The sequence below is a fragment of the Homo sapiens genome, chromosome 1, assembly GCF_000001405.40.
Source record: "Homo sapiens chromosome 1, GRCh38.p14 Primary Assembly".
NCBI classification, from domain to species: Eukaryota; Metazoa; Chordata; class Mammalia; order Primates; family Hominidae; genus Homo; species Homo sapiens.
Window position 1 is genome coordinate 65,336,519 of NC_000001.11, and position 26,697 is coordinate 65,363,215.

At 39.6% G+C, this 26,697-nt stretch overlaps 1 protein-coding gene across 3 annotated transcripts in view; it reads left to right on the top strand.

Moving 5' to 3' along the window:
• DNAJC6 (DnaJ heat shock protein family (Hsp40) member C6) overlaps positions 1–26,697 on the top strand; it is a 151,123-nt gene that overhangs the window by 71,770 nt on the left and 52,656 nt on the right. The window contains exon 2 of one of the 3 annotated variants that reach the window (NM_001256865.2): positions 9,093–9,205. The exons of the other annotated variants lie outside the window; for them this stretch is intronic. The gene's annotated coding sequence lies outside the window, so the exon portion shown is untranslated. The remainder of the gene's footprint in view (positions 1–9,092; positions 9,206–26,697) is intronic. 3 annotated transcript variants of the gene reach the window in all.

Here is a 26,697-nt window from a genome sequence, read left to right on the forward strand (position 1 = left end):
GAAACCCATGTCCCCATTACTCAGCTTCGACAATTATCCACTAATGAGCAATTTCATTTTTTCTAAAGCTGTTCTTGCCCCTCTGGATTATTGTGAAGTAGATCCCAGCCATAATGTCATTAAATATTTGAATATGCCTCTAACATGTAAGGGCCTAGCTGGGCATGATAGCATGAACTTGTAGTCCTAGTTACAGGGGAGACTGAGGCTTGGAGTGAGAACCTGCTCAATCAGTCAATCAGTCAATAAAGGGCTCCTTTTAAAAAACACTGTCACAACATTCTCATCTCATCCAGAATCTTAATAGTCCTTACTATCCTCAAATATCCAGCCTGTTCAGATTTTCCTGATTCTTTTAAGTGGGAATCTTATTTTTGCCTTTTTATAGTTTGTTTGAACCAGGATCCAAATAATGTTTATGCATTGAAGTTGCTTGGTTTTAAAGTTTCTTCTCTATGTCTCTTTTGTTCCTGTGTAATTTTTGTTGTTGTTGTTGTTGTTGGGAAAAAAAACCAGGCCATTTGTACTGTAGATTTTCCCCAAGTCTAGATTTTGCTGACTGCATCCCTGTGGTGTCACTTAACCTGTTCCTTTGTCCTCTGTGTTCCCGGTAGATTAAAGGCTTGATCAGACTTACATTCAGATTAGCTTTTTGCAAGACTATCTCGTAGGTCGTGTTTTGTATTTCCATCGGGGATATACAATGTGTGGTTGTTTCTGTTTTTTGTCATCACTGTCTAGTGCCATTGTTTTATTAGGGGCTGCAAATGTAATTCTTACTTTTTTTTTTTGTTTGCTGGACTATTTCTATGAGGAAAAACTCTTCCTCATCAGATATTTGGTTATCCTGGAGTAAAGTTCATATAGCAAACAAAGGAAAAAGGCTTGATTCTTACCCTTTATTTACCAGTTTTCAAAAATAAAAAGTAGGTCCCCTATCCTTCTCTGAGGGTGACTTATGAAGCTTCTCTCTTTCTCTTTTTCTCTTCATTTTATTATTATGAACTCATATTTTTAAACACACATTCATGTTTCAGTCCACTGCAGTTATTACAGTTGGCCCTCTGGGGATTCCACATCTGTGGATTCAACCAACCCTGAATCAAAAATATTTGGAAAAACACCAAGACAACAACAACAAAAAAGTACAGAATAAAACAATGATTTGTCTAGCATTTACATTGCAATGTAATAGGTATTATACATAATCTAGAGATGATTTAAAGTATATGGGAGGATGTGTGTAGGTTATATGCAAATACTACACGATTTTATATAAGGACTTGAGCATCCTTGGATTTTGGTATCCTTGAAGGGCCCTGGATCCAATCTCTCGAGTATATAGAGGGACATCAGTATTCTTACTAATGACTAAATGGACCATCTTTGGTCATGGGAGCCTCTGAAGCTAGCTCCTGAATGCTTCTAACACACTCAAGTAGTCTTTGATGCTTTCCTTGCTTTCTGGTATCACCAGATGTTCCAGGCTCATCTTGTATGTTTTCTGCCCCAATCTTAGAATCAGCCACTTTTTCAAAGGGCTCTAGTTCCTTTTAGAGGGAAATGGTGCATAAAGACCTCTGGTGTGAGGGGTGCTCACTGCTCCTGAGCTGGTTTTTGTGTCTAGGCCTTCTCAGTGGACAGAGCTAGGAGCAAATTTTTTAAAAGGTAAAATACATTATGGATTCACAATTATATTTCTTTCTCCCATGCCAAAATTCTGGTTCTCAGTTGCACCAGTGTAATTACTTATTTGCTTTGTGCCACAATACACAGCCACAGAATCACAATACCAACACTATCACCAAAACAGGTTAAGGTAGTTTTGTTTTTTGTTTTTCTTTTGGTGGTGGTGGGGGTACTGGTTGTATATATTTTGCTTTAAGACAGTTACTTTGTATCTTAAAGTTACTTGAGGTAGTTTCTCTCTGTGTGGTTATATCATCAATTTCATACTAAGCTGGGTTGGTTTGGCTCATTTTGCTATCACTTTTGAGGGGTTGCTTTAAAATTTATGTTTGTAATTATATAGAATATTTACATAGTTTCAAATTCAAATCTTTAAAGCAGGTTGTATTCAAAGAAACAGCTTCTGTCCCTGCCCCCTCTACCCTGTTCCCTCCCTCACAGGTAACTCTCTTTCAAGTTTTGGGTTTATCTTTTCACTTTGTAAATATGTGTGTGTATCTATCCACTCTCTCTTGGATAAGTGGGAGCTCTATACATATCTTAAATTTCGGATAAAATTTGGAGGTAGTACAGACACTATTTTCTGAAAGATTGGATGTGAGGTATGAGAATAGAGTTGAAGCTAATGCCCAGGTATGACATGATTGACTGATAGAATTGAACCACCTGGCCCCGAGTGCCCTTCTTTCCATGTGGCCTGGTTAGCCTCATTCATCTTTGCAAACTCCAGCTTTCTTTGCTCTCAGGTGCTCTCCTCTGTGCTCCATTGATGCCCTCTGCGTCACATTATCCTTCCCATATGGTCTTATATACTGTTTTCATTTGTGTTTGGCTGTCAGTAGACTGTGAGCAGCTTGATGTCAGACATTATGCTTTCTTATTCTGTTTTCCCACCACCTATCACAGAACCTTTCACACAGTAGAAGCTCAATAGATACCTGAGTAAATAAATAGGCCAGGTGTAATGTTGGGTTCTTAAGAAAAAAAAAATGAGGTGGATGTTGTTGTCCTATTTCACAGATGAAGGAACAGGCACTGAAAGGTTTAAGCTGCTTATCTAAAGAAACAGCTAATAAATTGCTGGAGTACGAACCCGAATCTTGTCTGATGCCAAGGCCACACAGCTCCAACTCTGTGTTCTCATTCAGCAGTGGCATGTGAGACTGTCCACAATTAGCCTATTAATTGTGTGACCTCTGCAAGAAAGTGAGCCTCTATGTCTATTTCTACATCTACGAATGCAAGATAGTAATGGCGTGTACATTATAGGGCTGTAAAGCATTTAGAATAATGCCTCATACATAGTAGGGACTCAAATCTTAGCTGATTTTAGGTACAATTGTTATTTTTAGTAGCGGAATATTAGAATACTACTACTACCACTACATACAAAGCCCTGTGCTTGGCACTGTGTATGGAGTCTTCTTTGACTCACCCCATCTTGCCTTCTAGGAGTTTGCAGGCAATGTGCATATGCTTAAAGATTTCAAGAAGGGCAACTGGGGAGTGGTCAGTCAACAGGCAGTCACTTGAGATTAGTGCCAAATGCAGGGAAAGAGGAAAGAAGGCACTTGCAGGTGGCCAACTTGTTAGATAATAGTCCCTCACCCCTGGGCTTCTGGGGCAAAAATAAAAAACAGAAGCCATGGTGGAGATTTGAATGTTTCTGTTCCACCAATGTCACCATTAGTGGCAGCCAAATACTTCGACTCCTTGTCCAGTTTGGTGATACTCCTAACAGTCCTTGCCTTGTAGCATTAATAAGTTGCACAAATCACAATTTAATACTCACATTATATAGACTCTATGAGTCATGGGGTCACCCAGAGTTCATGGGACCTTGGAGAGCAGCAAATTCCACCTCCACATTTTATAGAAAGAGACTTTGTCCAGAGAAGGAAAGCCATATGTTTAAGGGCACACTGGTATTTGGAACTTGAACTCTGTTGGTTAACCTTATGGGTCAGATCATGCAGATTCCCAAATGCCTGGACCCTTGCCTGGGAGGGAGTGGACTCTCAATATGCAAGAGTGCTGAGAGACGAGGGATGATGGCTCCACTGTTGTGCTGGCCACATTGTATTTGGTGAGTCCAGGCTCCTGCTCTTATCAGAACAGCAATGGTAGCTGCTGGAGGAAGAGCTGGCCTCCCTCAGGATGTAGCCATTTCTGCTGCCTGATTCATATTGGGCAAGGTCTTCTTTGGGCCCTTCCATAGCTATAGCCATCTATGTGCTATTGGCGATTGCACTGAGACCTCTACTCTGTCAAAAAGAGGTAAGGAAGAATGTGATAGTGAAAGGGCATGAGATTTAGAGCCACACAGATCTGGTTTGTGTTCTGACCCCAGTGTTTCTTAGAGGTGTGACTTTTATCCAGTCATTTAACTTCACTGGAAACCTCAATTTCCTCCTCAATAAAATGGGCATGATAATATCCACCACAGCAGGTTGTTGTAATGATTAAGTGTGATAATCTATATGAAGCATTTGGCAGAAAAAAAGTGTCCAAAGAATGGTAGCTTCTCTGCCTCTCTCCCCGACTCTGCCTGACCTTCATTTAGGGCTGTCTGTCCTCTGTCACACAGTGTGGCATAGGGCTGTGGCTGTGTTATTACACTTTCTATTTATCAGAAGCTACTGAGGGGTGTTGAAAGATGTAGACTTTAGGCTCCACTCTCAGAGATTCTGATTTGAAAGAAATCTGAAAATTTGCATTTTTTAAAACAGGCACCCCAGGCTATTCTGATGCGTAGCCTGGTACCTAGGCTGACATTTAACCTTGGGAACCTCTTGCACCACTGTTTGCCAGACCCCTTAGCTTGGGCGGGTTATGCAACCTCTCTGAGCCTCATTTCTGCACCTACTAACTGGGACTGATAGCCTGTTTAGCAAGGTCCTTTTCAGGGTGAAATGAAACAGTGTGTGTGAAGCATCTTGCATGAACCTAGCACACAGCGGGAGCCTGGTGAAGATGTGAAGACCGATACCAGACACCAAAGGGCTGCATTGCCTTCTTCCAATCTATAAGCTAGCCGTGGCCCTAGTTCCTTCTTTGGAAACCAAACCCTTGCAATGTATCTGTCCACCTATTCTTACCATTCTGTGGATTTTGCAGAGGACACATTGTTCATGATGGAAAGCCACCTGCTTGCCTGTCACCTGCATTTTTTGGAGACCCTTTTTATGGTTATTAGTGCCTGTCTTTGAAATTTCAGCACCTGTGAGCTCTGATTGTGTTACCTGGGATCTAAAAAGGCAGCAGAGGAGAACAGATGCTGCTAATGACTTATCAGCTCTTTTGTCCATAGTCTTCTCAAAGAAAAAAGGCTGTGACCCTGGGTTTGTCAGCACTGATATGCTTTCACACCACAAAGGGACTTGACAATGGGCAGGTTTCCAAGTCTGTAGAGTGGTTCTTTGGGGGAAGATGGAAAGCATATTTACAGTTTGGTTCTTCGGGCTCATGCTCTTTCTCCACCTTCTGTGCTCTGCTGCCACTACCCCTGGAATGCTGGTGCATGTGGCTTTTGAACATGAGAGTCAAAGACAGCAGCTATTGACCCTAAAGGCTGTGTGTGCCTGTGGGGTGGGTGGGACTGGGCAGCAAGAAGAGGCTGAATTAGGAAAGAGCATCTTGAGCCACTGTCATCATCCCTTTGTGGGACCAAGTCCGTATGAGGGACCGCGATCATAGCTGGATTGTAGTTTTCCACTCCTGCCTGTTCAAGCCTTAGAAACTAGTTTTCATTAATTTCATTGCTATGCAATGAATGCATAGCAGTTTTCCACTCCTGGGTATCTGTTCTTGCAAATATCCTTAGATTAATGCAGAGCAGACATCAGGCCAAGGTCTGCCTTTTTTGTTCTCCAGCAGTGCTTTTGGGTTTGACTGTTTCCTTTTATGTTTTAAGCTTTTAACAAATATAATAGGAGGCAGCAAAATGTTGTCAGTGGAACACAGGCTTTGGAGTGAGACAGACCTAGGGAAGAGCCTGGCTGTATGACCTAAATTTTTGTGTTGGGTCCTGCTGTGGGCTGAATATTTGTGTCCCCTCCTTTCCCAGATTCGTATGCTGAAACCTAATCCTTAATGTGGTAATATTTGGAGGTAGGGCCTTTGGGAGGTGATTAGGTTGTGATGGCAGAGCCATCGTGAACGAGATTAGTGCCTTTATAAAAGAGGGCCCCAGAGAACTTGCTTGTCTCTTTCACCATGGGAGGATACAGGGAGAAGATGGCCTTCTACGAATAAAGAAGTGGGCCCTCACTAGGTACCAAATCTGCAGGCACCTTGATCTTGGACTTTCTCGTCTCCAGAACTGTGAGGAATACATTTCTGTTCTTAATAAGCCACTCAATTTATAGTACCTTGTTACAGCAGCCCAAATGGTCTAAGACAAGTTCTCACTTTGCTCCTCTGTAAAAAGGGGATAATCAAACTTACCTGGCAACATAATTGTGAAGATTAAGTAAGATAATGGACATAAAGCTTGTAGTCTAGTTCCCAGGGATCAAAGGGTGCTTAATAAGTGATGGCTATTGCTGTTATCATCTTGCTGCACTTCAATGCAATTGAAATTGGTTTAAAAGTGAATAGAAACGGTTGGTTTCTTGATGGATTCAATTCAGTTCAATTAAGTGTCCTTTTTTAGATGGCTTACCCTGGTAAGTGTCATGCTGAATACTTGATACAGATAGAAATTAAGCACTCTCTTCTCGCTAAGCTCTTCTTGTGCATTCTCAATTTTGCGTTGCAGCTTTCAACAAAAGCATCCCCTCACCCTTCCCAGTGATTCTAAATTTCTTTATCTACTCATTTGAAGGTTAGTTTGACTTTCAAGCCTTTTGAGATCTGAGCATCATTCACCTTTGCGGTCTCACCTCTCACCCCTCTCTAATATACCACCCAGTTCTGTGAGGAAACACCATAATATCTTGGCTCTAGTATGTACCATTGCCACTGCCTGATACACATTCCTCTCCATTTCAGAGTCTTCCTCCTTCCTCCTGTGTAGTGGAGACGCAATACTCATCTGTCAGTGTTGGATGAGGATTTATGCATATAATTTTTTTGTCCGAAGAGCAGATGGAACCACACAGACCAGACTGCAGGAAAGAGAAGAGATAAACAGTAGACTACCTTACCTGTGGTTTCACTTTCCAAGGTTTCAGTTATCTGCTGCCAACTGCAGTCTGAAAGTGTTATGAAAATTCCAGAAATAATCCATTACGTTTTAAATTGTGTGCCATTCTGAGTAGTGTGATGAAATCTTGCACCGTCTTGCTTGGTCCTGCCTGGGATATGCATCATCCCTTTGTCCAGTGTTATGTTACTGCATATTAGTCACTTAGTAGTTGTGTAAGTGATGAGATTGACTATCTTGGTTATTGCAGTGCTTGTGTTCAAGTGACCCTTATTTTACTTCATAATGGCCCCAAATCACAAGAGTAGTGATGCCAGCAACTTGGATATGCCAGAGAAAAGCTGCAGGGTGCTCCCTTTAAGTGAAAAGGCAAAAGTTCCTGACTTAATAAAAAAAAAGGAAAAAAAAATATTCCGAGGTTGTATAGATCTATGGTAAGAGTGAATCTTTTATCTGTGAAATTGTGAAGAAGGAAAAAGGGAATTCACGCTAGTTGTGCCATTACATCTCAGACGGCAAATGTTATGGCCACAGTGTGTAAGTGCTGTATTAAGATGGAAAAGGCTTCAGTTTGTGAGTGGAAGACATGAACAGAAACGTGTTCCAATTGATGGCAGTTGGGTTTGGTATTATCTGTGGTTTCAGACATCGACTGCAGGTCTTGGACTGTATCCTCTATGGAAAAGAGGGGACTACTGTACTAGCACCTGCATTGGCCAGATGCTAAGTAGAAACAGAAGCTGCCTTGAACTTAGGGAGGCCCTGGGTGTACAGTGATTTTTCTATGCCATTTGTGGTGCCATTTCTGCAGCCCACCAGGGTGCAGCCTGCAGAAGGAAAGTCACACAGCTCTTTCCTCCCTCCAGGGGTCCTTACAATAATGAATGATGGCAAAGAGTCAAAGATAGGATGATGATAATGCCTACTTTTTATTGAGCACTTCTTGTAGATACATGCACATGTGTGTATTTCATTCTTAACAAGTATTATTGCAAAACTGAGGTTCAGAGAGGTTGCATCACACCCTTGAGCATGAAGAAGACAGGGAGGGTGGCTGTAATAATAGGGACAGTCCTCCAAAGCATGACATCCGACTCTTTTGATGGTTGGGCAGCTAGTGTGCCAGGGAAATAATTATCTGTCTCCTTAGCAACCCCCAATATTTGGCTTAGTTGTCATTGATGCATTTCAGTTATCTTCATGTCGTTAAAGAAATAGGTCTCAGGAAATTTAATCCAGCTAGCAGTGCTATGCCTAGAATTCAATTAACTCCATGATTTGCAATTAATGAGCCCTCATGCCAAGATTGAGGTCATAGCATTAATCTTACTTTTATTTTAGGATTTCCACTGTCATGATTTACAGCGAAATCCAGCCAATCTTGTCAGGATTATTGGAGCATAATTAAGCCAGAAAGGCAGGCAGAACAGCTAGTTAACATGGGATCCAGGGAGGGACCACATACCTTTGCTTGGTAAGCCTACCTCAAGCAGGATGGGGCTACATATGAGGATTTCCATCTAAGGACTGTTTCCCAGATGCCTGATCTGTATACATTTCAAATCCCCATCCAATCTCCAAAGAAAATATTTCCGAGTCCCAGTTGGTGAGCCCTTGTGAGTTATGTTGTTGTTAATTCAATGCTACCACATCCACCTCCACCTCAAGTTGCCATTTACTAAGTTGTAAATGTAACAGACAGTGAGTGGGCTTTTACAGATGATGGATTTAATATCTGTGATGATTCTATGAGGAAGGTATCATAGGCCTTCTCTCTGTATAAGGTTATACAGCAAGTAAGTGGCCTTTCCACTGAACTGATGGAAGGTTGTGGCAGTTCCTAGCTGCAGACCATTTTTGTGCTTCTCTCCCTTTCGTGTGTGTGTGTGTGTGTGTGTGTGTGTGTGTGTGTGTATTTTGCCCATTAGGATCTCCTCCACTTTCCCATATAGAAATAAGAAGGTAGGCATGCATAGGCAAATATTGTTTATGATTGCCTTCTAGGTGACAAATACTCATCCATCATTATCTCATTTAATCATCGTATACATGGGAGGAGGATATTATCTACCTCCATTTTACAGTTGAGAAAACTGAGGCTTAGAGAGATTTACTAGTTTGCCTGCTGTTACACAGATAGCAAGGAAGGAGAGTCAGTGTTGTGAATCCAGGTATGCTTGTTTGCAAATCCTAGGTTCTTTTAATCACAACACGCTAGTACTAAATAAATGCTTTTTCTCTTTTCCTGGTTCTCCAGGAGTGGTTATTATTGAGTCGAGAATTTTTGGGAAAAGTAACACGTGGAGAGTCAATTTTTGAGTGGAAGGAGTCTGAAGAGAGGGTAGGAACCAACCTCCTACTACCCACCAGGTAAGGGTGTACTTTTGGCCTTTGGGATTTAGCCCATGTCTTCTGTATGTAGAGTGCAGATCCAGGTTGGCTACCATGTCTGGCCAACCAAGCACAGAAGCCAACCCCTCCCATTGACTTTACTTTTGCTCAGTGTTTGGTTTTTCCACAAGGGAGGGTAGTGGCCAGATGTTTATGAGAAGGTCTCCATAAGCCAAGTCCACACCAGAAGCTGACCCCACAGCTAGCGGTAGCTTTCTTTGCCCTAGAGACCAGTGAAACAGAGGAGTAGCAGGTTCTCTTTGTACTTAGGTAGCAGATTTTCCTCCAAATGCTTGCTGTGGGTTTTTTGGGTTTTCTCCTAGGATTCACCTTCAGACTGTATCTGCCTCCCTGTGTAGTTAGCATTTAGAAGTGTCCTCACTGGGTTTGCTTAGCCTCATTGAACATTTTTATGCCTGGCATGGCTTACTAGAGACTACCTATTGGAAGTGCCTACTAATACAATTTTCTGATAATTTAGATGCTGAAGGACTTCCTTGAAATTTTCTTCGGCTGGCTTGGGATGGAATACTTGCTTTTGAAATATGCCCTAAAGAGTGTGCTATCCCTGGGGAAATCCACTTGTCTCAGGCAATATTAATCTGCTCTGCGAACAGCTTGTTGGAAATTTGCTGATAATCCATTTTTTTTTTGTCATTCCATATCTCAGTGTGAGAGAGTAAGAGAATTTGGTAAAAGTTCTTACTTTTTAGCTTGACCTTCTGAGGTCTGAGGAGCACTCACCTTCCCAGTCTCATCTTCCATCCCTCTCTAACACACCCTCAAGTTCCCTGAGGAAACAACATTATATCCTGGTTCCAGTATGTATTATAGTTGGTGCCTTAGGAAAATTACTTTCTTTTTCAGAGACCCCTGCCCCACCCTTCCTCATCTGCTTAGGGGAGACTGTAATACTCATCTTTCAGTGCTGGGTAAGCCTAGCATGTTCCCTAGTATGCTTATAATCAGAGCTCAGTTATGATCCTTTCACTTTTATGTCTGTCCTTGACATGATGTTCTCTTAACCTTTGCTTGCTCTCCAACATTATTTTGTACTAAATAATGGACTAAAATGCCCTTCAGCCCATTTCCATCCAAACTGCAATTCAGGCATCACCTCTGCCATAAGCCATCCTCTTTCCAACAACCTTCAACACCACCCCCGCTCCACCACCCCTGCCTGCCACACACACACAGACATACACAGGCTGGAAATAAGCTCCTCAGAATGCTTATCTACTTTATATGCAACTTTATAATACTTCTTGGTGTGTCTAAACAGTAGAAAATCAACTAATAATTATAATGCAGCACTGTGAGAGATATGAGAGAAAAAATACTAATGACTCAGAAGACTACATTTCATTGCTAAGTGGAAATATGGCAGGTCCAAATCTATACACAGTATCATCTTTATTTCTATGTATGTGGACACACAACACAAAATGTGTATATGTACGTATACACAAAAACAGAACTAAGAATGTAAGGATATATAGTCTCCAAAATGTTAACAGTGGTACCCTTGTTTATTTTCTTCTCTATCTTAATTTCATCTTCTTTGGTTTCAGTAGACCTCAGGGGTAGAGAAGTGAGTTAATCATACTGCTTTGCAGTCTTTATACGGCACAAGGCCCCGTCTGGTTTTATTGTAGATTTTCTTTTTTTTTTTTACTTCATCAGCCTCAATTCCATCCTCCTCACCCAGCCATTTGGTTTCTTTCTGATGCTCTTTATGTATGTCCTTAAGTGTGCCCAAATTTTCCACATTCTTTATGTCTTCTATATTATAGATATATATGATATTATTGTGTAATGCAACGTATTTTAATGTATAAAATATAACAAAATATAGGTAATGTTTATATTTATATCTGAATGAAACCTTTTTTCATAAATTAGAAACTGGAATTCATGTCTCTGCTTTTTACCTCTTTTCCCCGTTGTCTCCCCTCCCCTCAACACTGCAATCACACACACATGCATGTGCACACACACACACGTGCACACATACACACACACACAAAAATGAAGATTTTCTTGACCAGTCGTACTTCCAGTTCCAAAATCTCAGGATTCCTTGTTGCATATATTGGTTGACTCCCTCCCTTGAGCTCTCTGATATATGGTTTTGTAAGAAGTTTTTAACATGATTTTTCTCAAGTAATTGAGCTCCTAGTTTTTAGCATAGTACAGCAGAGTTTGAACAGAGAATGACCAATGGCAATGCAGACAGCCTTATTGGACTAAGGATGGCATTTTCTGGTGATTCGTATGTTTGGCTTATCTTCCCCAGTCTAGGCTCTATTCAAGCATATGGCAAAAGGGACACACCATTTGCAGTTAGAGCAATATTTGTTTCCTTGCCCTGCCAGCTACTAGCAAGCTAAGTGACTTGAGCCTTAATTTCATCATTATGCCTTAAAGCACTTCAATGAATCTTAATTGACACCCAGAAATACGCATTTTTTAACCTTTTGAAATTTGTCGATAATTATTTTATGCCCCAGCATATGTAAACACTTGATAAGAGGGTATATTCTTCAGTTGTTGGTTGCAGTATTCTATAAATGTCAATTAGGGCAATGTAGTATTGTTGTTCAAATGTTTTCTTCCCATACCAATGTTTTGTCTACTTGTTCTTAAAAAGTCTGCATTTGTGATTGTGGGTTTGTCCCTTTATGTCTACTTTTCTGTTCATTTTTGCTTCATATACTTAGAAGCTGTGCATACATTTAGAATGATATGGAATAATTGACCCTTTATTATTATGAAACATTATTCCTTAACTCTGTAATATTGTCTTGAAATTAATTTGTATCATGTTAATATAGGCCTACCTGCTTTCTTTTGCTTACTGTATGATTAATATTTTCTCATCCTTTGCTATTAACCTATCTGTAACTTTGTAATTAAAGTACATCTCTTGTAGACAGCATATAATTTGTGTTTTTTTTATGCAGTCTGATAATCTCTGTCTTTTAGTGATAGTATCTGGCCTATTTAGATTTATTATAATTATTAATATAATTGGGATTAAGTCTACTCTCGTTATTTGTTTCTAACTATTGCTTCTGTTTTTAGTTTCTCTATTCTTTTCAGCTTTGTTAGGATTAAGCATATATTTTAATATGAAATTTTAATTCTTCTGGCTTTTTGGCTATATATATGTGGTACGTATATTTGTGTGTGTGCATGTGTGTATATATATAAATATATATAAATATATATGTAAATATATAAATATATATGTAAATATATATAAGTATATGTGAATACATATAAATATATGTAAATGCATATATAAAAATATATATGTAAATACATATATAAAAATATATATGTAAATATATATATAAATAAATATGTAAATATATATATATAAATATATATGTAAATATATATATTTGGTATGTGGTTTCTCCAGAGATTGCAATATTTATTCTTCACTTATCACTGTATACATAAAATAAAATAAGAGAATGTTATAGCAGTAAAATTTCACTTACCTTCCACCCATCTTTTGTGCTATTTTGTCATATATTTTTCATCTGTGTAATAACACCACAATACAATGTTGTTATTTTTGCTTGCAACAGTGATCTTTCAGATGCATTAAGAGAAGAAAACCATAATCTTTTATATTCACCCAGACATTTACCATTTCTGGTACACTTCATCCTTTCCTACAGATCTGAGTTTTCATCTGGTAACATTGCCCTTAAGGCTGAAGAACTCCTTTTAGCATTTCTTATAATGCAGGTCAATTAGCAACACATTTTCTTGTGTTTTTAATATAAAATTTTGTTTTGAAAGGATTTTTTGCTGTCTATAAAGTTCTTGGTTGATCATTTTTTTCTATCAGCACTCTAAAAAAATTCATTTCATTATTTTTTGACCTCCATTGTTTCTGATGAATGTTAGCCATTATTGACATTTTTGTTCCGCTATATGTAATGTATCTTTTTCTCTATCAGCTACTAAGATTTTCTTTTTCTTTTTCTCATTGGCAGTCTTATTCTGATGTGTCTAAGGTGATTCTTTGTATATTTATCCTGTTTTGGGTTTGCTGAGTTACTTGGATCTGCAGCAATAGTTTTTAACCAGGGACAATGTTGGTTCTCTAGGAAACGTTTGGCAATGTTTGGAGGTATTTTTGGTTGTCTTTGCTTAGAGTTCAGATAGGAGAGGATATTACTTGAAATTAGTTAATAGAGGCTAGGGATGCTGCCAAAAGTTCTACAATGTCCACGACAGGCCCCCACAACAAAGAATTATCCAATTTACAATTCAATAGTGCTAAGTGCCGAGGTTGAGACATTTGCATTTTGAGTTGAATTTTTTTCCACCAAATATTGGAAATAAAATAGTTTTTCTGCTCCATTTTCTTCCTGCGTCCCTTCTTAGACTCTGCTTACATGATGGTAAACTGCTTGCATGATGTTGTCTCACAGGTCACTGAGACTCTGTTTTTAATTTCTGTCGACCTGCCTTCAAGTTCATAACATTTTCTTTTGCAGTTTCGAATCTCCTGTTAAGATCATTTAGCAAAATTTTCATTTCAGATATTATACTTTTTAATTCTGCTATTTTCTTCTTCTTTTTAAAAATATTCTTTGCTGGTAGCTCATTAGACTACCTCTTTGTTTAAGCCTTTGAACATATTAATAAGCTTAAAGTTCTTGTCTACTAATTCTAATATCTGAAGCATTTCAGGTTCTATTTCTATTTACTGCTCTTTTATTGTTCAATTTTTACTGCTCCTTTATATCTGTAGTTTTATTGTATGATAAACATTGTGATGATACTTTGTTGGAAGTCTGGATTACCATTTTCTTTGAAAACATGTTAAATTTTATTCTGGAAGACAGTTAAATTACCGACATATCCTTCTGGTCATTAGGCTTGATTTTATTCTTTGTTAAAATGGGTCTATTGTGGTTTTCAACTTAGTCCTAGGAATGCAGCCTTTATTCCAAGGTGTAGTCCTTATTCCTAGTGTGATGTGGCCTTTCTGATACAGAAACACTGAATATCCAGCTAAATGCCTGAGATGCTCAGCAAGAGCTTTCCATTTTGGCTATGCTAGAGCTCCAACATATGCCAGCATTTATAACCTCTGGTATATAGTGCTGGTTTAGTTCTCAACCCTGCATCAGGCAGTCTCTGCTGGGCCTTGTGAAGTCTTACTCTCTATATTTACAGCCCAGACCTCAGCTAAGGACTCAGGGTGAATTTCCATGCAGTCTTTTCCCTCCTATCCCTCCAGCACCCCTAATCCCTATGTCCACACTGTGCCTCTCCCTATTTTCTTTTATATTGTCCCACATATTCCTGCTTCTTAGTAGTTTTTGTATTTTGATCCCTGCCTTCACAGCTCAGGGGACCACTATTCTACTTGGGCTCTAGATCATTTTATGGTAATAGGAAAGTGCTTCCAGGCAAAAGCTGGAGCAATTGTGAGGCTCATCTTGTGTGGTTTCTTTCTTTCAAAGATCTCAGTCCTTCTTAGACTGTTGTTTAATGCCTAAAAAACAGATGTTTTATATAACTTATCTAGTTTATCACAGGAGCTCAAGTCCAATACCATTATCATGGTTGGAAGTGGAAATCAGGAATATGCATTTTAAGTAAAGACCCCAGATAATTCTGAAACTGATGGTTGTGGGTTCATATTTTAGAACTGCTGATGTAAATTATTTAAAGTAGATATAAAGTATTCAAAGTAGCCCCAGCTTTCTGAGGAATTGTCAGAGGATCTCTACTCTCCAGGAGGTCTAGGTATTTTATATTTTGCAAAGGATAAAGGACTTTTATCTGAAATGTTTCTTGGTGTGAGATCCCTTTGAGTGTGGTGTATGTGTATGCGTATATTTGCTACAGTGCTGAGTTGTACTCTGTGTTTTCACCATCTTGTGTATAGACAATGCACAATAGAATACCACACCATAGCAGAATCATTGATCAAATATACTGCAAGAATGAATCATCCATACATGTGTGTGTACACACACAGTTATATATATTTTTTTTTTCTTAAGATGGAGTTTCGCTCTTGTTGCCCAGGCTGGAGTGCAGTGGCGCGATCTCGGCTCAATGCAACCTCTGCCTTCAGGTTCAAGCAATTCTCCTGCTTCAGCCTCCCAAGTAGCTGGGATTACAGGCGTCCACCACCATGCCCGGCTAATTTTTTGTGTTTTTAGTAGAGACGGGGTTTCACCATGTTGGCCAGGCTGGTCTTGAACTCCTGACTTCAGGTGATCCACCCGCCTCAGCTTCCCAAAGTGCTAGGATTACAGGTGTGGGCCACTGCACCCGGCCTTATAAACATTTTCAATATGTAGTTTTATATGTAAATTTCATGTGTCAATAAAGCTATTTTTTTCAAAAAGTTAAGTCATGGCAATGATTTGGGGAAGTCATTTTATTTTCCTGGTGCATCCATTTGAGGCATAGGGATACATTGCTAATATTCTATTGAGTATTAAAGTGTTATGAGTCTGGGTTCTTTCCTCTCATTGTCCAAGGGGGGCTTCCAGCTCTCTGACTGTTATGTTCCTGACTGTGCCTGATGAAATGAAAAAAACATGGGTCTTGTCTTCACACCGACATTTGGATATATCCTAACTAAGTAATCTGGTGAATGAACTGACCTCTGACTCTCTTTTGATTTAGGCTAGAAGTCCAATGCACTATCCATTGTGCCACAGAGCCTGCCTGCTTGCACGAATTGACCTCTTTGAGACACAGTTCCCTTATCTGAAAAATAAGAGCAAAAATATATTTCAGTTTTAATGTGTGGGATACTGTATATTCCTAGCATGGTGCCTAACATATAGTAAGGCCACTTTGGTATATGTGTAGCACATGTGTGTGTTGTATGTAGCACATAGCATATATACCCTTACCTTGATCTTGTAAACGACAAACAATATTCATCCACAACCACTGCTACTTTTCTGGAGAACAGTAATTTGATCTTTCTCTCAGAAGTTGGCTTGCAATGGCAGCTCCAGAATTTCTGCCTTGGAGCTAAGAGAAGACAATCTTGGTAGAAGGGGAGGAGCTTGAGAAAACGCTTCTTAGAGCTGCATATGCATAACAAGCACACTGGTTTTCTAAAATTCTACCTGTATATGGGGGGTTGTTTGGGAAGACTGATAGAGTTCTCTCAGTTGCCCTTTGGTGCCTATATTGTCTCCCCTGTCTCTCTTAAATGGAACTGAAATGTCGAACAGAAAATTTTTGCCTTATTTTTTTCTCTTTGCAGTTTTCTTTAAGTAGACCATCAGTCCTCTGCTATCTCTATTCTCTATCATAGACAAGGTCAGATAACAGCAAGGACATTTTCTCTGTTCCAGGGTGGTAATTAAGAGGGAAATGTCATAGTCCATTTTATGCAATTTAAGCCCTGATCTTTTGATTAGAGAAGGGAGGAAAAAAACAATTGATGGCCCCTCACTTTCTGGAGTTGAGGTTCCATGTGGTGCCCAGAACCCTTTCTGTTTCTTCAGGTTTCTATTGAGGATTCTGATCTCATTGAATAGATTTGATTATTATTATTTCATAATGCAGAGCCTTTTTATTTGGTCCACATGTTGAAGAGTAAAGATTCCTTATTTAGACCCCTTTTCCCTGGCACATCATAAGTACTTACTTTGTCTGTTGAATCAAATTAAGCAATATCCATGTAAAGTTTTATATGAGAGTTTATTGAGTAGAATTTGGATTGGCACCTGTAGCCTGATTTCTTTGATCCTTGAAGGAACAAAATATGTTACATCCATTTGACTGGAATTCCCCTAGCACCAACAGCCTGGTTGTGAACACTGTGCCCTATCTTTATTATACGCAGAGTTCATTTTGGTTTCAATGTAGTCATTACTTTGTATTTCTCATTTTTTCCACTCTTATCAATCTTTTTTCATGTTGTCGATCCTTTTGGGAAAGAGGAGCTAGTATTGGTTTCTTAATTAGTTCTTCTATCTCTTTGAAGATAAACATTTCCCATCAAATATTAGCCTTCTTTACAATAAAGCGCATGTTGTATTTCAAGAAATCTCCATCTTTTAGGCAGGCTTTCTCAGTGGGTGCAGTGTTGCAATCAGAAATTCTGAAAAGCTTGAGGAGACAGTGAAACAGTGAAAGCATCTAGTCATATTTGCTACCTACAGTTAAGCAAAGACCAGATCACTGCCAAAGTTGATCTGTTTGGTCTTCCTTGCCATCTCTGCCATCTTCTCTTTGATTATTGCATTCCATAGCAGCTCAGTTTCACATACTTTTATTGAGTGCTTACTGTGTGCCATATATTGCACTTAGGGGACTGTGAAGAGGCATGAAACATGCTTCTTGCTGTTGAAGACTCAATAGCAAGTAATTGAGTTGAGGGGAGGTAGACTCATTCACAAGTAATTATAATGCAAGCTGACTGCTCTGAGTCCTAGGATGGAGGAACAGAATGAGGTGGGAGAATGGAGGCATGAGAGACAAAAAGTACCTCTTGAAAGAGGCAGGATGGGGAAGTGAATAAGAGCAGAGGCTTTGGGTCCAGCCAAACCTAGCTTCATTTCATTCTGTTGTGACTGTTACTAAACTTCACCAAAACCTCAGTTTCCTCAGTGGGACTCCCACCTGCCACTGTGCTTAGTGCAAGCATCCCATTTAGTTGTTTATGGAAACTGCTTAGCTGAGTGTCTAGCCTAGAGTACATGTTTAGTAGATGGCCTTTGTATGAGGATGATGATAGTGTTAAAGAATTTTAAAAGTGGAGGGGACTTAGGAAATCACTTAATTCATTCTCCTATGTTTATATTCTTGGAGACTCTGAGTTTGTGATTCTCCCATAGCTTGGGAAATAGCTGAGCCATCATAGTCTAGTATTCTTCCCATTAACAACCTGAAAAGTGAGTGTGGACGTACTCATGTGTGCACGTACAGATTTCATGGTGTCTGTAAGTGATGACAAAAGCTTTAATAACTGGCACACTAGCATAATATAGAAATCAATATATATCAATGTAAAATATAACCCCCTTTTATTCTGTAAATAAATACACACAAGCACATGTATATTATCACTGTTTATAGCACAAATTATCACTCTAATTTCCAATTTTTTAATTGATTTTTGGACATTCTGAAGAGTATTCTTGTTACTAGCTAAATGATCTCCATTTCCGGGCCATGGTTTGACATAGGGAATGCCAGCCAAACCTTCCAGCAACTTCCCCATTAAATTGATTATTCTGGTTGGGCGTAGTGGCTGACACATGTAATCCCAGCACTTTGGGAGGTCAAGGCAGGCAGATCACTTGAGCTCAGGAGTTTGAGAACATGGCGAAACCCCGTTGCTGCAGAAAATACAAAAATTAGCCAGGCATGGGTGCAACCCTGTAGTCCCAGCTACTCAGGAGGTGGAGTTGGGAGGATCGCTTGAGCCTGGGAGGCGGAGGTTGCAGTGAGCCAAGATTGGGCCACTGCACTGCACAGCCTGGGCAAGAGAGCCACACCCTGTCTCAAAAAAAAAAAAAAAAAAAAAAGAAAAAGATTATCCTAAGGGCCCTGGCACTTTATTGCAGTACAAAGAGAGTTGGGTGTGCTATTGCCTTGTAAGAGCTGTGATGGTCTTGGATGCCTATGCTTCCTATGTGGCCTGAAACGAGAAAGCCTGACTCATTGGCATTACCTGCTCTGTGGCCTCTGCCTGCCAGTGCTTAGCTCCCCTGGAGCCTTCCATGGATGCTACACATGCCCCTGCTTCTGCTCTCTTGGTCTGTTGAGCAGCTGTGTCCAGGGCCACAGCTGTAGCTTATACCACGTGCCACCTAGTACATAAGTATTGTAATATATCAAAAACCAGTACTACTGAATCTGAGTGAACCTGAATATTAGTCCTGCAAATAGCTCACAATAAGTCCTCCTACCAGGCACCAGGTCACGTCAAGATGAGAAGCAGAAACTTCAGAGTGATAAAGAGGTTCACTTCTGTTAAACATTTGTTCTTCTGAACTATCAAAAGTGAAGAGTTTCCATGGGCCATAGCTTGGATACACCAATAGGAGATTCTTACCCTAGGGAGGCTTGCTAGACACATCTCCAGTCTGGCTTTGTTAACCCTGAAATGGAACAGCATGGCTTTTTTTTTTTTTTTTTTTTTTTCTGGCCAAGGCTGCGTGAGTTTGCTAGAGGCAGCATTTTTTTGTGGCTTTATCTTCTATGTGCCATTCTATTAATATTTCTATTCTACAGATAAGGAAATCAAGACTTCTCTAGACTATATATCCAGCTAATAGCAGAGGTAGGATCCAGATCAGTTCTGGCTGAACTGAAGCTGACATAAAGCCTGTATTTTAATACAGGTTGCCTTCTGTAATGCCTAACCTCTTGTTTGGCATAGGGGTTATTGATTTGTTATTTTGCTAAATGTTATCTTTTTTTCTCTGAAATTTTAATTTCTAGTTGGATTCCCAGCCATTTGTGGGAGGCATTCCTTGGAATCATGTACTATGAGTGCTGAATTTCTAAGAATTAAAATAAAAATTCTGACAGGCATGGTGGCTCATAACTGTAATTCCAGCACTTTGGGAGGCTAAGGCCGGCCAATCACCTGAGGTTAGGAGTTCGAGACCAGCCTGGGAAACATGGTGAAACCCTGTCTCTACAAAAAATTAACTGGGTGTGGTGGTGCATGCCTGTAATCCCAGCTACTCGGGAGGCTGAGGTGGGAGACTCACTTGAGCCCAGGAGGTGGAGGTTGCAGTGAGCCGAGACTGCACCACTGCACTGCAGCCTAGATAACAGAATGATACTCTGTCTCAAAAATAAATAAATAAATAAATAAAATAAAATAAAATAAAATAAATTTAAAAAAATAAAAATTTCTGGTCATTTTAGAAGATCTCATTACATAAAAATCACAATGTCATGCGTGTTATTATTTGATCCTGTTGATGACATGAGGCATGTAGAAAAGTTTTTGTTCTTAATTAGTTCCAGTTTATAGGGTGGGGAGTTGGTGGGGGGAAGGAGGCCTAGAGGAGTAAAATGACATACTCAAGGTCACACAGCTTTTAAGCAGAAAAACCAAGTTTCAAGTCTGAGACCTCTCTTCTCAAAGTCTGTTACATTTCCTCAAAGCTTCCCTGGAGTGAGATGAATGGGGAATGAGACGTAAGCAGCCTTTGGAGCCAAAGCAGTGGCTTTTTCCATGGTATATCTACTTGTTATGCCCATACGATCCATTTCTCTAACTGCTGGGAGCCAAGATCTGAAAAATCTGTTACAAAGAAGGATGATGAAGCCCTTTGTGATAATGACACGAGTTCCTTCCTTGCCCTTTGCCAAGCACTGTGAAGGAATGGCTTTTCCCTAGAGTGGGGCATCTCTACAGAGTCACTTTAGTTTCAGGGATTTCTATCCCACAGTTGTCAATTTTATAGAAGCCAGGACAAGACATTTTTAACATTGTGACTCTTAACCACTGAGAAAAATGCCCACTGGTGAATGGGAACATGAATATGACATGATTCTAATGCCAAGTTCACTTTATCAGTCGTCTCTCCAAAAGGCTGATCCTGAACACTATGGGATACTAACTCACTTTACTAGACCTGGATGATGAAAACATTCTGGAAAGAGGAAAAGTGATGTTCTGTGGAAGTGTTTTTGTGGAGTCCCAGAGGATCCACTGAAGAAGGCTGATGTCCCAAGAACTGCAGTTGGTGCCAAGTGTTGGTTGAATTCTTGAGAGCAAGAACTGCAGTTGGTGCCAAGTTGCTGCCCATCTCCTCCCTGTCCCCAGCATATTAGATCATCTTGAGTATTGATGCTGGAGCTGAGACAGTTACCACTGTGATGAAGCTGGGTCTGAAGTCTTAGAATAAGTCAAATGTAGAAGGATGTTCCTTCCTGGCAAGCCCCTAGCCTGCTTGGAGTGAGGGGGGCACACAGGCTCTTGGAGGGCTGTTGGCAGCATTTGCCTGCCTCTCCCAGGCCAGCTGAGAAACTTGTGTGGCTGTGAACTGTGATGAATCACGCAAGAGGAAGGAGGTCTCTACAGCTGTTGAGGAAGGACATATCAAACTTGAATAGCATAGCACTTGGCTCTTTATTTTATGTAACATATTTTTAATTGTAAAACTAATGAATGTGGCCGGGCACGGTGGCTCATGCCTGTAATCCCAGCACATTGGGAGGCCGAGGCTGGCGGATCACTTTAGGTCAGGACTTCAAGACCAGCCTCACCAACATGGCGAAACCCCATCTCTACTAAAAATACAAAAATTAGCTGGGCATGGTGGCGGGCACCTGTAATCCCAGCTTATCGGGAGGCCGACGCAGGTGAATCACTTGAACCTGGGAGGCAGAGGTTGCAGTGAGCTGAGATCGCACCACTATACTCTGGCCTGGGCGATAGAGCGAGACTCAGTCTCAAAAAAAAAAAAAAAAAAAAAACAAAACCTAATGAATGTAACTTGCAGAAAATTTAGAAAATATAATCATAAAAACAAACAAAAATCACTCATCATTTTCCCAGATATAATTAAATATAATTACTATAACTGTTTTGAAAATGTAGTGGATAAAAGCCTGGACTCTAGAATAGCCTGCATGGGTACAAATCCTGGCTTACTAACTGTAGGACCTGGGGTGAATCACTGATATGTCTTTGCTTCAGTTTCCTTGTGTATAAGATGAAGATAGCAATGGTATTGCCTTCATAGGGTATTTGTGAAGATTAAATGTGTTACTACATATAAAGAATTTAGATCAGTGGCCTAGTATGTGGTAGGCATTCAGTAGGTTTCAGTTGTTATTATTTTATGTTTATTATATCCTCTGAATTGTTTCTCTAAACTGAGATAGTTTTCTTTTACAAAAGTAAGATTACACAGTGGATTATGTGTTGTAGCCTGCTTATTTTACATTTAGCCTTTGCCATGCCCTTCTGTACTTTTCTGCAAAATGATTTTAGTAGCTAACCATATGGCGTTATTAGAGATATTTAACAATTCCCTTACTATTGAAAAAAATACATCATTTATAGCCTCTTGCCATGGTAAACACTATCTTGATGAACGTCTCTTTTTGGTAAGTTTTTGCATACCATCCTTCTTTTGATGACAGTATTTTATGGGGGAGCATTTCTTCTTAGAGGACCAGATGGAATTATCCACAGCCCAGGGTGCCATAGGCATGTACTGAATAAGCATATGAGGGGATGATCACTATGCATTATGGACACTCCTTCTCCTTTGATACCACTTCTCACAGTGTTTTGTCCACGGCTAAGAAATCAATAAAATGTTTATGAAAAGCAGCCACACTTTTTTATATTTTCAGTTACATTAAGGCAGTTAAGACTAGCCCTAGCATTTGTGTTTATCTTCTTTATATAATTTCTAAATGACTATTGAATCATCTCAAATCTCTTTTGGAATGAAGCTCGATACAAATAAATGATCAAACAGCCAACTAGCAATCTAGTGGGAGACAGAAATTCTCTCCCAGGAAACACAAATTTTATGTCACTCTTGACAGCAAGGACTGGTCAGGTTCCTACAACTTGGAAGGAATAGGATACTGCGTCTAGTTTCCCAAACATTAGGAATCCCAAGGAAAACTTATTTCTTACACCCTTAAAGTGACTCAGAGGTAAAAGTGCAATTCTCTGATGTTTGTCCTTGGTGGGCTTAGATTTTCACACCACAGACATCATTGAAACAAGAATCTACTTGGAGCCTTAGAGGCAGTCCTGGACCTTTCTCTTTGGATGGCACTCACATGCTCTGTCAACTCTGATGTCCTCACCTTCACTCTCTTACACCCTCAAATCCCTGAGGACCCTTAGTAAGCAGAGTGTTCTTTCCACTGGGTGCCATTTTAGCCAAAGTATTTAGAAAGGTGTTGGAGGTAGCAAGCTCTGCATTCCTAAGAACACAAGTGGTGTTAACCATCTGATGCAAGGGTTGGAAAACTTTTTCTGTAAAGGGCCAGAGAGTAAATGCTTTAGACTTTGTGGGCCGTAAGATCTGTGGCACTACTATTTTAACTCTGCATTGTAGCATGAAAGCAACCATAGGCAAGATGTAAACACATAAGGGTACTTTACTTCTGGACATTGAAATTTGACCCTCATACCAGTTTCATGTTATGAAATATCATTCTTCTTTCTACTTTTTTCAATCATTTAAAAATGTAAAAGCCATTGTTATTTCACAGACTGTACAAAAACAGGCCGTGGACTGGATCTGGCCCATGGGATCCAGTTTGTTACCCCTTGATCTACCGTGGTCATTGTTTGTCTTCTGCATTTCTTTCTCATTGCACCATTTTCTTCTTTGTTGTGCCATATTTTGAAACCTCTCTGCCCTTTCTCTTAACTAGCTGAGGCTAAAATATTTGCAGAATCTGCACTTTTGGCACTTATGTGGCTCATCAGGGAAAGCCAGAATATCTACCTAAAAGAACCAGTAGAGCAACATCAAATAATGCCCCTCTTCTTTTTTGTGTGGCCTTGCCAGTTCAACGTATAATTTGAATATATGAAGGTTACAGATGGACTCTGGCAAGTTGTTCTGATTTCTGCAGCATTCCAAAGCTCTAATGAGCAGAGCATGCAGCCTGAGGGATGGTGAGAGTCTGATTTTTAGATAATCAAGGATATTTATATCTTTTAATAGGCTGGTGCCTTGTAGTTCTATTCCAGCATAAAACTGAGAGTTGAAGAGACATCTAATCAATTTGATGTCCTCTCTTTAACAGTTATATATCAAAGGGGTGTTCAGGCTGAACACATGAAAATGTTACAGGGATGGAAATGGGAGAATTATAAACATTTTATGCTGCTCTATCCTCACTATATTTAAAACAAAAACATGATACAGATTTTTACATGGTGGGGTGTGTTTACAGGGAAATAATGTGCTCTATTTCATATGAAACAGGACACAAGAGAGCATTCTCAGATTTGTAACACTAGCCGTAGTCTGTGGAGGTGCCCATTAGACCTGTTCCTGGCCTTTTATTCAGGGCTGTGAAGCAGTAGGGGCGACAGAGGCTCGGCTGCCTGCGTAATGAGATTGACTTGGTTTGCCTGGCATGCAGTGATTTATGAGGGTGCTTATTGTAGGGATATCTGCCGCTGAGAGCAGCCAGATGAAAGGTGTGTGGGTGAGAGGTGGAGGAGAGCAGGGAATAGGAGAGAGGCAGTTGTGTATAGGCAGGTAAGGCTCATCTTGATTATAGTTGTTGGAATCCTGAGCTGAGTGAAGATGTAGAATAGTGTGAAATGGTAGATTAGCAAGGCTTTGGAATTGCACAGATATGGGTTTGAATTGCTGACCCTTCCACTCGTTAACTGGACTCTTTGGTGAGTTACTTTCCTTCTTTGAGCTTCCATTGCTTCATCTGTAAACTGGGGATAATAACCACTTCCACTCTCCCGCTATATGAAACTGTACTATCATAAAGGTCTGAGCACAGTTCCTGTTGCATTGGAGAGCTCAGTTAGTGGTAGAGATGATTAATGTTTGTCCATATGTCCATTCATTGTTTGTTTACCAGTATTCAATGTGCTTTGCAATTTCTAACAGAGCCTCATTTTCTAATAGATGTCTAATGGTGACTTAGACATCTGTTAGGTATCAATAGCTCTTAAGATCAGGATGGAAGAACATGACAGTCAACATGTATTTATAGATATATGTATGAACATCTAAGTGGCATGTAGGAGTGTACTGGTACCTGAAATATGATTGAAAGAACAGCCACCTGGCCAGTAAGCACAGTAAAAGATACTTCACCTCACTAGTAATCAGGGAAATTACCAAAATAGGACCAAAGTGAGATACTTATTTATACTTGACAAAGTGGTAAAAATGTAAAAGTCTGACAATACTAAGTGTTAAGGAGAATATAGAGTGAAGGAACACATATGTACTAGTTGTAGGAATTTAAACTGCTGTGACTGCTTTGGAGAATGGTTTGTCAATATCTAGATATATGAAGTGTACATACCTTATTTACTGGCAAATTCTGCTTGTAGGTATAATCTAGAGAGAGTCTTATGTATGTTATCAAAGTCATGTGTTCCTCACTGTGTTGCTTATTATAACAAATAGCCTACGTGTCCATCAGTGGGGTAATTGATACACACATTAATTGAGCTAAAGCTGCATTTGGTACCAGCATAGGTGAATTTTAAACAAAAGTAAGTGAAAAAAATAAAGTTGCAAAATTATGCAAATAGAAAACCATTTATGTACAGCTTGAAATCTTGGAAAATAATATTAATACATTTTTTGTGGATACAAACATATGGAATACAAGTTTGAAGAAATTAATTGGAATGACAAATATAAAATTCAGGCTGATATTAGGAGAAGAAAGTGGGATGTGATTGGAAGGGTTGCCTGGGTTCACTAGCTTGTATGCCCTTAGACAAGTTTCTTAACGTCTGTGCCTCAGTTTTCTGATCTATAACATAGGAATAATAATATTATCTATTTCATTGGGATGCTATGAGGATTAAATGACTGAATATAGATAAAATGCTTAGAAAAATACCTACCAGATAGTAAGTGTTATATATAAGTTAGCAATTATAGTGCCTATTACGTGAATATTTTTATTATTCTTTATTTTGAAAATCTTATATATTGCAAGTTTTGAAAAAGAATAGATGCCATTCTTGTCTTTTGTCATCATATAGTTGGAAAGTGAACAAAGATTAAAAATACCATCAATACAGGAATTTCAGGATGTGGCATAATAGAGTTTAGCTACGTTCTCTTGACCCCTAGATTTATTAGGTACCATGCCAACAGCTTTATATGCATTTATTTAATCTTTCCCTATGGAGTAGGCACAATTTTTATCCCTATTTTACAGATGGGAAGAAAGAGATTTAGAAAGACTGACTTCCAGGGTCACACAGCTAGGGGTAGCAAAGCTGGGCAGGAACCCAGGTGAGAATGACTCACGCTCTTGACTGCTAGGCCTTAAAGCCCTACCTGGCCACTGTTCACATTAACCACCTCCTCTACACAGATTCCTGCTTCCTTCCTGTATCAGCCTGCATAGGTTAGGTTGTGCTTTGGTTATGAACATTCCCAAAAGATCAGCGGCTTCTATTAACAAACAGGTGTTTCTTACTGTATTAGTCTGTTTTCACGCTGCTTTAAAGAACTACCTGAGACTCAGCAATTTATAAAGAAAAGAAGTTTAATTGATTCACAGTTCCACATGGCTGTAGAGGCCTCAGGAAACTTACAACCATGACAGAGGGTGAAGGGGAAGCAAGTCACATCTTACATGATGGCAGGACAGAGAAAGAGAGCAAGGACGGAAGTGCCACATTTTAAAACCTTCAGATCTCTCACTGTCATGAGAACAGCATGGGGAAAATCCACCTCCATGATCCAATCACTTCCCACCAGGTTCCTCCCCTGACCCGTGGAGATTACAAC